This window comes from Homo sapiens, chromosome 13 (genome assembly GCF_000001405.40).
Source record: "Homo sapiens chromosome 13, GRCh38.p14 Primary Assembly".
Taxonomy (NCBI): domain Eukaryota; kingdom Metazoa; phylum Chordata; class Mammalia; order Primates; family Hominidae; genus Homo; species Homo sapiens.
In genome coordinates, this window is record NC_000013.11 from 35,421,257 (window position 1) to 35,438,467 (window position 17,211).

Consider the following 17,211-nt stretch of genomic DNA (forward strand, 5'->3'; position numbering starts at 1 on the left):
TTTCTGCCTTCCTGTGGGTGACTTGGTCATTTTTTAGAATTCTGTTTTGATTTATCTATGTTTCTTAGTATATCCCTTTGTGTAGCTTTTTTAGTGTTTGCTCTAAGTATTACATTTTTTGTGCATAGCCTTATCAGTCTACTGGTGCTAACATTCTGTCAGTCCATGTGAAATATAGACACTATGTCCTTTCACATCCCTTTGCCTTCCCCCATTTATAATATAGTTATCTTAAATATTACCAGTAAATATACTTAGAACCACATCAGTGTTACAATTTTTGTTTCAACAGTAAAACATAATTTAGAAAACTCAGGAGGAAAAGGAAAGCCTATTATAGATAGTCATGTTTTGCTTATTGTGTTCTTTCTTCCTAATGTTTCAGTGTTTCTTCTATTACTTCTCTCATGTTTACAGGACTGCCTATAGCCTTTCTTTTAGACTAGCTCTGATGGCAATAAATATTCTGTTTTTTACTTCATCTAAAGATGTCTTCACTTGTTATTTCTGGAGGTCTCATCACTGGCTATAGGATTTGGGGTTGACGGTTCTTCTCTTTTAGCACCTAAAAAATATTTTGCCACTTTCTCTGGTCATCATTGTTTCTGATGTAAAATATATTGTCATTCTGTTTTACTTCTGCAGATGAGATGCCACTTTTCTCTGGCTGCTCTTTAGACTTTCTTTGCCCTCAGTTTTCAGAAATTTAATTATGATGTGTCTTAGCATGGACTTCCATGGATTTATCATGTTTAGAGTTCAGTAAGCTACTTAAATCTGTACATTTATGTTTTTGCCAAATTTAGAAAGTTTTCCGCCATTTTTTTGTTTGTTTGTTTTTTTTTTTTTTTAGATTCTTCGTTCTTTCACATGCAGAGCATCTTTTTTTTTTAATTTTATTATTATTATACTTTCAGTTTTAGGGTACATGTGCACAACGTGCAGGTTTGTTACATATGTATACACGTGCCATGTTGGTATGCTGCACCCATTAACTCGTCATTTAGCATCAGGTATACCTCCTAATGCTATCCTTCCCCCCTCCCCCCACCCCACAACAGTCCCCAGTGTGTGATGTTCCCCTTCCTGTGTCCATGTGTTCTCATTGTTCAGTTCCCACCTATGAGTGAGAACATGCGGTGTTTGGTTTTTTGTCCTTGCGATAGTCTGCTGCGAATGATGGTTTCCAGTTTCATCCATGTCCCTACAAAGGACATGAACTCATCCTTTTTTATGGCTGCATAGTATTCCATGGTGTATATGTGCCACATTTTCTTAATCCAGTCTATCGTTGTTGGACATTTGGGTTGGTTCCAAGTCTTTGCTATTGTGAATAGTGCCACAATTAACATATGTGTGCATGTGTCTTTATAGCAGCATGATTTATAGTCCTTTGGGTATATACCCAGTAATGGGGTGGCTGGGTCAAATGGTATTTCTAGTTCTAGATACCTGAGGAATCGCCACACTGTCTTCCACAATGGTTGAACTAGTTTACAGTCCCACCAACGTGTAAAAGTGTTCCTATTTCTCCACATCCTCTCCAGCATCTGTTGTTTCCTGACTTTTTAATGATCGCCATTCTAACTGGTGTGAAATGGTATCTCATTGTGGTTTTGATTTGCATTTCTCTGATGGCCAGTGATGATGAGCATTTTTTCATGTGTCTTTTGGCTGCATAAATGTCTTCTTTTGAGAAGTGTCTGTTCATATCCTTCGCCCATTTGTTGATGGGGTTGTTTGTTTTTTTCTTGTAAATTTGTTTAAGTTCTTTGTAGATTCTGGATATTAGCCCTTTGTCAGATGAGTAGGTTGCAAAAATTTTCTCCCATTCTGTAGGTTGTCTGTTCACTCTGATGGTAGTTTCTTGTGCTGTGCAGAAGCTCTTTAGTTTAATTAGATCCCATTTGTCAATTTTGGCTTTTGTTGCCATTGCTTTTGATGTTTTAGACATGAATTCCTTGCCCATGCCTATGTTCCTGAATGGTATTGCCTAGGTTTTCTTTTAGGGATTTTATGGTTTTAGGTCTAACATTTAAGTCTTTAATCCATCTTGAATTAATTTTTGTATAAGGTGTAAGGAAGGGATCCAGTTTCAGCTTTCTACATATGGTTAGCCAGTTTTCCCAGCACCATTTATTAAATAGGGAATCCTTTCCCCATTTCTTGTTTTTGTCAGATTTGTCAAAGATCAGATAGTTGTAGATATGCGTCATTATTTCTGAGGGCTCTGTTCTGTTCCATTGTTCTATATCTCTGTTTTGGTACCAGTACCATGCTGTTTTGTTTACTGTAGCCTTGTAGTATAGTTTGAAGTCAGGTAGCGTGATGCCTCCAGCTTTGTTCTTTTGGCTTAGGATTGACTTGGCGATGTGGGCTCTTTTTTGGTTCCATATGAACTTTAAAGTAGTTTTTTCCAATTCTGTGAAAAAAGTTATTGGTAGCTTGATGGGGATGGCATTGAATCTATAAATTACCTTGGGCAGTATGGCCATTTTCACGATATTGGTTCTTCCTACCCATGAGCATGGAATGTTCTTCCATTTGTTTGTATCCTCTTTTATTTCATTGAGCAGTGGTTTGTAGTTCTCCTTGAAGAGGTCCTTCATATCCGTTGTAAGTTGGATTCCTAGGTATTTTATTCTCTTTGAAGCAATTGTGAATGCGAGTTCACTCATGATTTGGCTCTCTGTTTGTCTGTTATTGGTGTGTAAGAATGCTTGTGATTTCTGCAGATTGATTTTGTATCCTGAGACTTTGCTGAAGTTGCTTATCAGCTTAAGGAGATTTTGGGCTGAGACCATGGGGTTTTCTAGATATACAATCATGTCATCTACAAACAGGGACAATTTGACTTCCTCTTTTCCTAATCGGATACCTTTATTTCCTTCTCCTGCCTGATTGCCCTGGCCAGAACTTCCAACACATTGTTGAATAGGAGTGGTGAGAGAGGGCATCCCTGTCTTGTGCCAGTTTTCAAAGGGAATGCTTCCAGTTTTTGCCCATTCAGTATGATATTGGCTGTGGGTTTGTCTTAGATAGCTCTTATTATTTTGAGATACGTCCCATCAATACCTAATTTATTGAGAGTTTTTAGCATGAAGGTTATTGAATTTTGTCAAAGGCCTTTTCTTCATCTATTGAGATAATCATTTGGTTTTTGTCTTTGGTTCTGTTTATATGCTGGATTACATTTATTGATTTGCGTATGTTGAACCAGCCTTCTATCCCAGGGATGAAGCGCACTTGATCATGGGGGATAAGCTTATTGATGTGCTGCTGGATTCGGTTTGCCAGTATTTTATTGAGGATTTTTGCATCAATGTTCATCAAGGATATTGGTCTAAAATTCTCTTTTTCAGTTGGGTCTCTGCCAGGCTTTGGTATCAGGATGATGCTGGCCTCATAAAATGAGTTAGGGAGGATTCCCTCTTTTTCTATTGATTGGAATAGTTTCAGAAGGAATGGTACCAGCTCCTCCTTGTACCTCTGGTAGAATTCGGCTGTGAATCCATCTGGTCCTGGACTTTTTTTTCGTTGGTAAGCTATTGATTATTGCCTCAATTTCAGAGCCTGTTGTAGGTCTATTCAGAGATTCAACTTCTTCCTGTTTTAGTCTTGGGAGGATGTATGTGTCGAGGAATTTATCCATTTTCTAGATTTTCTAGTTTATTTGCATAGAGGTGTTTATAGTATTCTCTGATGGTAGTTTGTATTCTGTGGGATCGGTGGTGATATACCCTTTATCATTTTTTATTGCATCTATTTGATTCTTCTCTATTTTCTTCTTTATTAGTCTTGCTAGCAGTCTATCAATTTTGTTGATCTTTTCAGAAAACCAGCTCCTGGATTCATTAATTTTTTGAAGGGTTTTTTGTGTCTCTATTTCCTTCAGTTCTGCTCTAATCTTAGTTATTTCTTCCTTCTGCTAGCTTTTGAATGTGTTTGCTCTTGCTTCTCTAGTTCTTTTAATTGTGATGTTAGGGTGTCAATTTTAAATCTTTCCTGCTTTCTCTTGTGGGCATTTAGTGCTATAAATTTCCCTCTACACACTGCTTTGAATGTGTCCCAGAGATTCTGCTATGTTGTGTCTTTGTTCTCATTGGTTTCAAAGAACATCTTTATTTCTGCCTTCATTTTGTTATGTACCCAGTAGTCATTCAGGAGCAGGTTGTTCAGTTTCCATGTAGTTGAGCGGTTTTGAGTGAGTTTCTTAATCCTGAGTTCTAGTTTGATTGCACTGCGGTCTGAGAGACAGTTTGTTATAATTTCTGTTCTTTTACATTTGCTGAGGAGTGCTTTACTTCCAACTATGTGATCAATTTTGGAATAGGTGTGGTGTGGTGCTGAAAAGAATGTATATTCCGTTGATTTGGGGTGGACAGTTCTGTAGATGTCTATTAGGTCCTCTTGATGCAGAGCTGAGTTCAATTCCTGGGCATCCTTGTTAACTTTCTGTCTCATTGATCTGTCTAATGTTGACAGTGGGGTGTGAAAGTCTCCCATTATTATTGTGTGGGAGTCTGAGTCTCTTTGTAGGTCACTAAGGACTTGCTTTATGAATCTGGGTGCTCCTGTATTGGGTGCATATATATTTAGGATAGTTAGCTCTTCTTGTTGAATTGATCCCTTTACCATTATGTAATGGCCTTCTTTGTCTCTTTTGATCTTTGTTGGTTTAAAGTCTGTTTTATCAGAGACCAGGATTGCAACCCCTGGCTTTTTCTGTTTTCCATTTGCTTGGTAGATCTTTCTCCATCCCTTTATTTTGAGCCTATGTGTGTCTCTGCACATGAGATGGGTTTTCTGAATACAGCACACTGATGGGTCTTGACTCTTTATCCAATTTGCCAGTCTGTTTCTTTTAATTGGAGCATTTAGCCCATTTACATTCAAAGTTAATATCGTTATGTGTGAATTTGATCCTGTCATTATGATGTCAGCTGGCTATTTTGCTCGTTAGTTGATGCAGTTTCTTCCTAGCCTCGATGTTCGTTACAATTTGGCATGTTTTTGCAGTGGCTGCTGCCGGTTGTTCCTTTCCATGTTTAGTGCTTCCTTCAGGAGCTCTTTTAGGGCAGGCCTGGTAGTGACAAAATCTCTCAGCATTTGCTTGTTTGTAAAGTTTTTTATTTCTCCTTCACTTATGAAGCTTAGTTTGGCTGGATATGAAATTCTGGGTTGAAAATTCTTTTCTTTAAGAATGTTGAATTGGCCCCCACTCTCTTCTGGCTTGTAGAGTTTCTGCCAAGAGATCAGCTGTTAGTCTGATGGGCTTCCCTTTGTGGGTAACCCGACCTTTCTCTCTGGCTGCCCTTAACGTTTTTTCCTTCATTTCAACTTTGGTGAATCTGACAATTATGTGTCTTGGAGTTGCTCTTCTCGAGGAGTATCTTTGTGGCGGTCTCTGTATTTCCTGAATTTGAATGTTGGCCTGCCTTGCTAGGTTGGGGAAGTTCTCCTGGATAATATCCTGCAGAGTGTTTTCCAACTTGGTTCCATTCTCCCCATCACTTTCAGGTACACCAATCAGACATAGATTTGGTCTTTTCACATAGTCCCATATTTCTTGGAGGCTTTGTTCGTTTCTTTTTATTCTTTTTTCTCTAAACTTCTCGCTTCATTTCATTCATTTTATCTTCCATCGCTTTCTTCCAGTTGATCGCATCGGCTACTGAGGCTTCTGCATTCGTCACGTAGTTCTTGTGCCATGGTTTTCAGCTCCATCAGGTCCTTTAAGGACTTCTCTGCATTGGTTATTCTAGTTAGCCATTCATCTAATTTTTTTTCAAAGTCTTTAACTTCTTTGCTATTGGTTAGAACTTCCTCCTGTAGCTCAGAGTAGTTTGATCATCTGAAGCCTTCTTCTCTCAACTCGTCAAAGTCATTCTCCATCCAGCTTTGTTCCGTTGCTGGTGAGGAGCTGCGTTCCTTTGGAGGAGGAGAGGCACTCTGATTTTTAGAGTTTCCAGTTTTTCTGCTCTGTTTTTTCCCCATCTTTGTGGTTTTATCTACCTTTGGTCTTTGATGATGGTGACGTACAGATGGGTTTTTGGTGTGGATGTCCTTCCTGTTTGTTAGTTTTCCTTCTAACAGACAGGACCCTCAGCTGCAGGTCTGTTGGAGTTTGCTAGAGGTCCACCCCAGACCCTGTTTGCCTGGGTATCAGCAGCGGTGGCTGCAGAACAGCAGATATTGGTGAACTGCAAATGCTGCTGCCGAATCGTTCCTCTGGAAGTTTTGTCTCAGAGGAGTACCCGGCCGTGTGAGGTGTCAGTCCGCCCCTACTGGGGGGTGCCTCCCAGTTAGGCTACTCGGGGGTCAGGGACCCACTTGAGGAGGCAGTCTGCCCGTTCTCAGATCTCAATCTGTGTGCTGGGAGAACCACTACTCTCTTCAAAGCTGTCAGACAGGGACATTTAAGTCTGCAGAGGTTACTGCTGTCTTTTTGTTTGTCTGTGCCCTGCCTGCAGAAGTGGAGCCTACAGAGGCAGGCAGGCCTCCTTGAGCTGTGGTGGGCTCCACCCAGTTTGAGCTTCCCCGCTGCTTTGTTTACCTAATCAATTCTCAGCAATGGCGGGCGCCCCTTCCCCAGTCTCACTGCCACCTTGCAATTTGATCTCAGACTGCTGTGCTAGCAATGAGCGAGACTCTATGGGCGTAGGACCCTCTGAGCCATGTGCGGGATATAATCTCCTCGTGTGCCGTTTTTCAAGCCCATTGGGAAAGCGCAGTATTAGGGTGGGAGTGACCTGATTTTCCAGGTGCCATCTGTCACCCATTTCTTTGACTAGGAAAGGGAATTCCCTGACCCCTTGCACTTCCCAGGTGAGGCAATGCCTCGCCCTGCTTTGGCTCGCACACGATCCGCTGCACCCACTGTCCTGCACCCACTGTCTGGCACACCCCAGTGAGATGAAGCCGGTACCTCAGTTTGAAATGCAGAAATCACCCATCTTCTGCGTTGCTCACGCTGGGAGCTGTAGACCGGAGCTGTTCCTATTCGGCCATCTTGGCTCCTCCCCCACCCGCCATTATTTTTTTGGACATTGTTTCAGCTCTGCCGACTTTCTCCTCTCCTTCTAGGATTCCAGTGACACAAATGCTAAATGTTGTGCTCCACAGATCCCTAAGGCTCTGTTCACTTTTTCCTCTATTTCCTTCTGTTATTCAGTTTGCATAATTTCTATTATCCTGTCTTCCAATTAAGTGATTCCTCCCTCTGTTCCTTCTGTTCTGCTGTTGAGCACAACTACTGAGCTTTTATTTTGGTTATTATATTTGTCAGTTCAAAAACTTCTGTTTGGTTCTTCTTTACATCTTCTGTTTCTTTTCTGAGAGTTTCTATTTCTTTGCTAAGTGTATTTTTTTCATTCATTTCAAGCATTTTCATAATTGCTTATTGAAGTATATTTTCAATCATGGCTCTTTTAAATTCTCTGCCATTTCGATGTTGGCATTTTAGGGTGATCTTTTTACATTCCCTTGGATATTTTCCAGGTTCTTGATATGACAAGTGATTTTAGATTGAAACCTGGACCTTTTCTTATTTTTTTCTGAGATAATTTATTTTATTTAAACCTTCTATTTAGACTTCCTGTAACATTGCTTCATCTGGAAGTGGGGACACTGCCTTATATCTGCTAGATGGTGGTAGAAATCTAAGTTCTTCACTTGGCCTCCATTGAAACCCAGTGAGTCGGAGGCTCTTCTTTACTGCTTGATGGGGGTGGGAGTTCCCTGTCCCCATGTGATGTCCACTGGTGGGCTGGCCTCATTGCTGTTTGTCAGCAGTGAAAGTCCTGACTCTGCAGTAGGCTTACTCTGACACTTCCCCAGTGGGGAGGGGGAGGGATGCCCCATTACTGTCCAATGGGAGGTGGAAATCCAACCTCTCCACATGGTCTCCACTGACTCCATGTGAGTGGGGCACCTTGTTACCAGCCAGCAGAGATGAAGTCCTGGCTGTCGACTTGGTGTTCTCTGATACCACCCAGCAAGGGTGTTGGGTGTCTCATTACACCTTCATGAGGGTACATGTCTGGGTTTCACACCCATCCTTTGCTGGTGTAGGTCAGGTGGGGACACAATTTTTCTGTGATGTTTGGCTGGAGTATAGCAGTTGTCTGAAAGTTTTCTATCTTGCTAAACTGCTGTTTTTTTTTGATCTTTTGACTAGAGGGAGCAGGCTTTTGCTGGGGCTTTTTGTTTGTTTGTTTGTACTCATTGGTCTATCTGGGCTGTTGGCCTCTTTGCCTCCAAGTGTGGGATATATGAAACAAAAACAACTCATCAATATGTTGTTCCTTAGGTCCTGGGGTCCTTAGCCAGTCTGCCTTTTCTCACCTTTCAGAGTCTTCTCTTTTTTAAAATCTATTTTAATAGGTTTCTGGGGAACAGGCAGTATTTGGTTATGTGAATAAGTTATTTAAGTGGTGACTTCTGAGATTTTGGTGCACCCATCACCTGAGCAGTGTACCCTATACCCAATGTGTAGTCTTTTATTTCTCACCCACCTCCCACCCTTTCCCCTGAGTCCCCAACGTGTGTGTGTGTGTGTGTGTGTGTGTGTGTGTGTACACACATTTTCTTTATCCACTCACTGATTGATGGGTATTTGGGCTGGTTTTGTATTTTTGCAATTGCAAATTGTGCTGCTATAAACATGCATGTGCAAGTTTCTTTTTTGTATAATGACTTCTTTTCCTCTGAGTAGATACCCAGGAGTGGCATTGCTGGATCAAATGGTAGCTCTACTTTTAGTTCTTGAAGGAATCTCCACACTGTTTTTCATTGTGGGTATACCACTTTACATTCCCACCAACAGTGTAAAATGTTTACATTCTCACCACATCCACACCAACATTTTTTTTTTGAATTTTTTGATTATGTTCATTCTTGGAGGAGCGTGGTGGTATTGCATTGTGGTTTTAATTTGCATTTCTCTGATAATTAATGATATTGAGCATTCTTTCATAGGTTTGTTGGCCATTTGTCAATCTTATTTTGAAAATTGTCTATTCATGTCCTTAGCCCACTTTTCGATGGGATTGGTTGTTTTGTTCTTGCTGATTTGTCTGGATTCCTGTTGCCCAATGTATAGATTATGAAAATTTTCTCCCATTTTATGGGTTGTCTGTTTACTCTACTGATTATTTCTTTTGCTGTGCAAAAGGAAGCTTTTTAGTTTAATTAAGTCCCATCTATTTATCCTTCTTTTTGTTGCACTTACTTCTGGGTTCTTGGTCATGAAGTCTTTGCCTAAGCCAATGTCTAGAAGAGTTTTTCCAGTGTTATCTTCTAGAATTTGTATGGGGTTTCAGGTCTTCAGAGTCTTCTTATGTTTGTTTTACATACTCTTTCCAGAACTGTTCAGCTGCCCTTACAGAAGAATAGGGAAGAGTATGTCTATGGTTAGAAATTTTAGATAACATTAGCTCTCTGACCACTTTTGGTGAATTTTGACTTAATTTTAACATAATCTTAATGAAAATCAATATAGCATGATTTTAGCATGGTCTTCCTTAAATTACTGGGATTAGTTTGTATTTGTAAGGACAGAAATCATCCTATTTTAAATTAGGGAGGTATACTATTTATTACTATTATTCATCAAGTAATCATTATTTAACAGAAGAATTAAGTTGTAATTATGATGTACAGGAAAAATAAGTGCATTAAAGCATACTTCAAAGACTTACAATTTTAGTTCTTTTTATATGCCCTTTATACTATTGGGTTTTTATAATGAAGTTATAGATAACAAAATTATATAGCCATAAAATCTAAAATGCTTTTCAAAATGAAATTATTTTTCTCAATGGCCATACATTGAAAAAATCCATAGCTTTTTTTTGAAATTAAAAAAACGTTTTCATTAATACAATGAATATTTAGTAAAAACATACTGTGGGCGAGACATTGTGCTAGAAATATAATGATGAGCAAAACATACATAGGTCCTGCCTTAATCAGACTTAAAGTGTTCTTCTACAGTAAAATATCAAAATAATGAAATGAAATCTTCTAGGAAAGTATTTTATATGTTTTTATGAATAGTGCTGCTCTGGAAAATTAGAATATTATCTTTCGAGTGTATTACTCCACTACTAGATGCAGAAAAATTGACGTCTTAAGCAGTGGTATTTATTACTAATGTTTATTGAAAATAAATTGAAAACAAAAATTATATGATGAAATGTTTCATTGGCTATATAATGGGCTATTTCCATCATTTCTGAAATATCTCTTGGATTTTTAGTATTGGTTTAGAGTATAAAAGACAGTGATGGCCAATGTTGGCCGTGGCTATTAATGGTTTATATTAGTTGAAAGCTGTAGAATCATCCAAGAACTCTATTAGCATTAGAGTAACAATTTACCAAGACAATTACCACATACTGGAAATTTTTGCAGCTCTAATTCAGTATTATTAATAATGGATAAAATTGCATTTTTCTCAGGTTGCTGTGGGCAGCGGGGAATTATTTCAATGAATATTTCAGCACATTATTTTAATCATTTTTCCACCAAATCCAAGTGGGCAATATTTTATACTTCTTAATTCAGCCTACTAAGAAACCATGGTCATTAAATTGTAAACTATTTGTAGTGAGGTCTATTCCGTGATTTACAACCCTTGTTAAAAACAGTGTAAAAGAAAGCAAACTGTACCATTACTACGGTGTAATTTGATGTTGCCTTTGTTACTAAACTCCACATGATTAATGCTTTTAGTAGAAAGAAGAAAGTTTTAAAAAATAAAAAGCAGAGCTGAGTGGTATAATACCTGAAATATGAGAATGTTATTATTTTAAGTCTTTTTCACTTGTAGAGGAAATATATATATATATGTATATATATACACAAATACAAGTGTAAAATATAAGTATCTCCAAAATTATCTTAATTTTTCAATGAGACCAACAAAATAACTTCAATTTTATAGAAAAATGTATTTCCAGCTATGCATTGTTATTAATAGGGATTACTTTTTTTCCCTCTACTCTTAGCCAATTGCATGATTTCTGGCGTTTGGATTACTGGGAAGATGATCTTCGTCGAAGGAGACGATTTGTTCGCAATGCATTTGGCTCCACTCATGCTGAAGCATTGCTGAAAGCTGCAATAGAATATGGTTAGTACCAATGCTTCTTCCACAAAAATACTTCTGGATGTGAGGTGACTCCTTGTGTTTGAGAATTCCTTCTTTTTTTTTCGCTAGTATTTAATGTTCTCCATGTCTTGAGTCAGAAATATTTTGTTCTGCTTTATCCTTCAGCATCATTTAGGTTACTGTTAATCAACCCAATATTTCTCAGATTAGATATATTTTTGTAGCCTTCAACTTATTTTTAAGAGCTAAATGGACTTCACATAGTTAGTTATTAACTAACAGTCCTTTCATATATCCTAACACAAGAATAAAATCAATTTCTTTCTCGGTGTCTTTCAAACTTTGATGACCAAGACCCATAGTAAATACTGTGATCCTGTACTCAGACTTAGATATTTTATGTATAAATTTGTTTCTGTGTACATACTTATATATACTGCATTAATATACATATACACATGTAATATATATACATATGTATACTGTGAGTATATGTTTATGTATGCATATACATATTGTATATATTAAAAAAGTTTTATTTATAACCTCTTTATATGATATTTTGTTTTAATCCCACCTATTCCTTTCAGCTTAATAAAATAGAATTTAAAATCTTGTTATAAGCTGCCAATTTAAATTTCCAGTCCTCCAATGCACTACAAATGAAGTTTGAAAAAGATGGTCTCCTACTTACAGTATCATTAATTATCACACTACAGTAGAACTATACCCTAAATTGTTCTTTATAAACTGTACAATCACAAATACCAAAATATTTTTGTAGTTTAATAAAAATGCTGCTACTTTAGATTGTTTTCTGCTAAGAAGTATCTTAGGAACATTTGGTCTACTTGCCCATTTTTAAATGCTGTAACAAGTTAAAGTGTGATGGGGTATATCAGAATTTTACAAACCACATTCACTAAGGAAATACCAGTAATGAACACTGTCCATGTGTTTGTTATCCACTTTTGTTCTTCAATTACTTGTATTTTATTATATTAATTTTCTTTTATTTGGGAGTACTAAGTGAGCCATCTGTTTTTAAAATTTAAAAACAGTTGATAAATAGTATTATATCAAATCATAGTTTATGTCATGTAAAACCATTCATGTTCTTAATGAATTGAACAGGGAAGTAATAAAAAGACAAAATGTGTAAAGCTTTTAAAATTTCTTTTCCCAGTAAGCTATGAATTGCTATAACTTAATAAGCATCAAAATATCATTAAAAATAGATAAGGATTTCATATGAAACTGTTATACCTAAGATAAAAGTTATACAGTAACTTTATATAGTAAAAGTAACTATGGAAAAAATATGCTGGAAAAAAATTATAGTTTGTCTTCTTTGAATAACTAAAAATAGCACCTAAGGATAATAGCCCTCTAAGGATTTGATACCAACTCAAAATGAGTTATCATTATGATCTTGTAGGAGAGAATCTTAGAAATATCTGCCTACCTAGTAGTGGCATGCTTTATAATATGATCTTAAAATTATTAAACCTTCATTTCATTTAACCAATAATTTAGACTTTTTCACCAATTAATCCTGAATTTATCTCATTTGAAAGTGGAAACATATAAAGACAATTTGTAACAGAGTTTATACTACAGTGATATCATTAGTAATACTGAGTTGCCAAAGCTTTAATTGTACAGAATTCATATTATATTACATTCCACAATCTACAGATTACTTTTAAGCAAGGCTTTTTTTAGAAAAATGTTTGTATTTCTTCTTAAAAGTGAATACTTTGTGTGTTTAATTTGTAAAATAATTTCTAATAAACCAGTGTCAAAGCCTATAAGAAACAAAATTTAAAATCTTTGAATAAAATCTTTTTCAAACTGATAGTCATATTTTAATAAAATAGTAACTATTGTTAATGAACCTAAAGTAAAAAATAATACCGTAATTTTGAAATAGGTAAGAGGTGTGATACTAAATATTCTTTATATGTACTATATTTTAAAATACAGTATTTATGAATTTTCAATCTGGATCATAAGCAACGTTCAGAACCCATTATCTATCCCTCTTGAGTTGTGTTCTGTTATAAAAGAAAAGAGGAGTATGTTTTTATTATACCTATTAAGAACAAAGATGACACATCTACACAGTAAAATATTCAGGGAATCGACATGGTACTATTGGAGTTACTCCATGGTCATTCTAAGGTCAGGGAGTGGAAGACTAAAGAGAACTAAAACAATTTTATCTCCAAAAACAATTATCCTCTAACCTTCCTCACAGTTCACAAGTCTATGGACTTTAGGACTGAGTGGAGAGTTGGGAGTAAATACAGAGGATGTAGAGAAGGTGAGTGGGAAGCTCTCCCTGGAGTGATCTATACGTAGAAGTAGAGGGAAGAATCACAAATTGACGAGAGAAATTTAGTATTGTGCCTTCTTCCTACCTCTTAATGTGCACTCTAACCTATATAGAAAATATCTCTTCAGAAGAAATAGGAAGTACATGTCAATAATTATTACAAAGCACTTAATCCAGTAAATGTTGAAAAACTTAATTCAAAACAGATTTTGTACTGCCAAGGACCCAAAAGATAAGGAAAGACTGAGAAAATATTCCAAACTGGAGAAGACCAAAAAAGATAAGATAGATTATTACAGCACATTTGTTTGTTTGTTTTTGTTTGTTTGTTTGTTGTGACGGAATTTCACTCTTGTTGCCCAGGCTGGAGTGCAATGGCGCGATCTCAGCTCACTTCAACCTTCACCTCCTGGGTTCAAGCGATTCTTCTGCTGGGATTACAGGCGCCTGCCACCACACCCGGCTAACTCTTTTGAATTTTTAGTAGAGACAGGGTTTCACTGTGTTGGCCAGGCTGGTCTCGAACTCCTGACCTCAGGTGATCCACCCACCTCGGTCTCCCAAAGTGCTGGGATTACAGGCGTGAGCCACTGCGCTCGGCCTTACAGCACATTTTTCTAGATGATTGCAGTTGGTAAAATTTGACTGGGGTCCATGATCTGGATGGCAGTATTGTTATCAATGCTAACTTCCAGAGTTGGAGGGTTGATGGTACTTAGACAGGAATGTTCTTGTTTTGAGAAATACAACGGAGTAGTTAGGGGTAATAGGGTGCCATACCTGCAACTTCTCAAAAAGTTTTCAAAAGATTAGTGATAATGGATATGTGCAGGAGTGGGGTGGGGGGGGCGTGTAGATGTTTGTTAATATTGGGAAAACCTGGATAAGGATAAAAATGGGAGTTTTGTACTATATTTGAAATGTTTCTGTTAGTTTGAAATTATTTCAGATATTGTTTAAATTTTATCCCTGCAAGTTGAATTAAAAGAAAAAGCAATTTAAAAAAGTATAGAATAAATCATTTATCCACTGTAAATGAGCTTAGAAACCTTTTTCTTGTAATATTAGGTATTAGTGGGTTTGCAGTAAAAAATAAAAAGAATCTCATATACGTTGCTGAAACAATGTAAATGAGGATTGCTGGAAACAAATCCTTTGCAAAACATTTTGCCAATGCACATCAAGAGTCTCAAAAATGCTGATAATCTTTGACCCAACAATTCCCTATCTAGGAACTTGACCCAAGGAAATGACTTAAAAGACAGGGGAAAAAAAGCTATTTCAAATTATTCGCCACAGTTTTCTTTGGAAAATCTGAAAAGCAATATAATATTGTGGGAAGACTGGTTTCAAAAAAAAAAAGAATGGACTCAAAAAAAAGAAAACAGATTTCATATTTTTAAAGAAAGATTTTGTATATACAAATTGCCAGGACGTCCATGTAAAAGTTAAAAAAAAATAGCCTGACGTCTGAATATTCCATCTGCCGTTAAACATTTAAATGTGTTTAAGTATTTTGAAGTCTGGCATTGTATAGACTAACATCCAAATGACTTAATGTTTTGGAGTTGTATAGATGTAGATTAAGAGTATATTGATAGCACAAACCTGCAAATTCTGACTAAACTACTAGAATAAATTGAAATTCAACTGATCTCTTCCTCTGTGTTAAATAATGACACTATTTCAATTTCCCTGTTGTTAAATTCTACTGTGAAGGCCGGGCGCAGTGGCTCACGCCTGTAATCCCAGCACTTTGGGAGGCTGAGGCGGGTGGATCACGAGGTCAGGAGATCAAGACCATCCTGGCTAACATGGTGAAACCCTGTCTCTACTAAAAATACAAAAAATTAGCCAGGCATGGTGGCGGGCACCTGTAGTCCCAGCTACTCGGGAGGCTGAGGCAGGAGAATGGCATGAGCCCGGGAGACGGAGCTTGCAGTGAGCCTAGATCGCGCCAATGCACTCCAGCCTGGGCGACAGGGAGACTCCGTCTCAAAAAAAAAAAAAAAAAAAATCTGCTTTGAAAGTTAAGTGCTAACTGTGTAGAATTTCTGCTGAAAACTTTGGTCAAAAAATTTTATATTGATCCACATGGTAGCAACAAAAAAGATTTTAGGTACAAAAGAACATTTTATAGATGGAACTTTCAGAATGTCTAGAAGTATTTGAATTAGTTATCAAAGTTTTCAGAATTTTCAACATGTTGTCTACACTGGGAGAACAAGCTTAAATTACTTAGAAAGAAAATTTTTACATGACCATCAAAGCAATCCCTGGGATTTGAACCATTGATTTCGTCTTATCTATTAATGTAGTAAGTATACTGTAGTTCAAGAATATAAGCCTTTATTAGTGTAATAGAAGTGAAACTGATTTTGCAGACTTCATGTTTTAATAAAAATATCTTGAGTCATTTGATTTTTTCTAATATCCTAAATTCAACTAAACATTTTAAATTACAGTTGCATTTTCATGTGATGGGAAGGAACATTTAGCCATCATTTGGATTTCATGACATTATTTTCAGGCAATTTATTTGGTGCCTCAAATATATTAATAATATATTGGCAATGCTTTCTTTTAAATGAGCAAACAATCAGAATTGGATATAATTTCAAGGAAATAAAGGAAAATAATTTTATTTCATATTTACTTTGAAAAGCTTTCCCTTCAATTTCATTATTAAAACTTGGTTGACCTTTTTCAGTTGGAAAATATCCTTTATACTGATGGAGTTTTTCATGCTTTTTTAGTAATACTAATGAGTTGAATAATTTATGAGGTTGTCATGTGCAAAAGATTTTGTGTGATTTGATATACTTTCAGCCTCTGGTGTTGGAATGTGATTAATGAAAACCTAGAGGCAGGTAATTTTTTCCCTGCTGGTTAGTGTTCTAATTTTGCGTGTATTTAATGTGTTATTTAGGTGTTTTCTAATAGTAAAATCTCATACAAGTGAAAATTTAATTGATTACCATGAATTTTATGGACCATAGCAATGGAACAGTATAAGGAAAATATTTTAAAACTCATAAACTCACCTTCTGATCTGCAGAATTCTTTTTCTTTTGAGCAAATGAGCTAATAGGGAAATGATTGAAAAAGGAGGGTTTTGTATATTGTTTATATATTAAAATAAAACCTAGACTAGTCAAATTCTGGTGCATTTCTAGCATGTCAATATTGTAGTTGTCGAAGAATGGTACAAAATCTTAAGTTTGATTGTCTTTGTTGACTGTCAATTATTATTTAGGCCTCTGTTGCCCTTTCATAAAATTACAGTGGAACAATGTTTCATCAAAACCTAAGACTGCAAGCACCTCCATGTCTGTGATCAAAGACAGCATCTTAAATAGGTCTGATCAGGCATCGTAGAAGAGAGCAGACTGCTTCAGCCTGAGGAAAAAAAAAACATGGAGCAAAAATGACAAAGTTAATCAGTCATTTCTTTGGCAATAAATAATAAGATATGCTGAGAACTGCAAATGAGAACATTCTTATGTTCCTCAGAGATGTGTCTGCTTAACACCTGATTTATCTAAGCTTGTGAAGCCATCAAGTTATGACCTTGATGAATAAAAAGCAGCTCTGTAATGAATCTGGAATTAAATTAGTTTTGATGGTATATGCATGGCTACTGTAATGTGCTATTTTCAGCCATCAAGAATAAGAAAGGCAGTGAGAATAGAAAAATACTAAGACAGCTATACAATTGTTGAGAAAGAAGCTATCAAGTAATCTGACTTCATTTTTC

The 17,211-nt window shown here is 36.6% G+C and overlaps 1 protein-coding gene across 13 annotated transcripts in view; it reads left to right on the forward strand.

The window, feature by feature from the left end:
- The window catches only part of NBEA (neurobeachin), a 730,467-nt gene that overhangs the window by 478,987 nt on the left and 234,269 nt on the right, over positions 1-17,211 (forward strand). For all 13 annotated transcript variants that reach the window (XM_047430271.1, NM_001385012.1, XM_006719803.4 and 10 more), the window contains one exon: positions 11,013-11,137. In XM_047430271.1, coding sequence (XP_047286227.1) covers positions 11,013-11,137 — 125 coding nt within the window. The remainder of the gene's footprint in view (positions 1-11,012; positions 11,138-17,211) is intronic.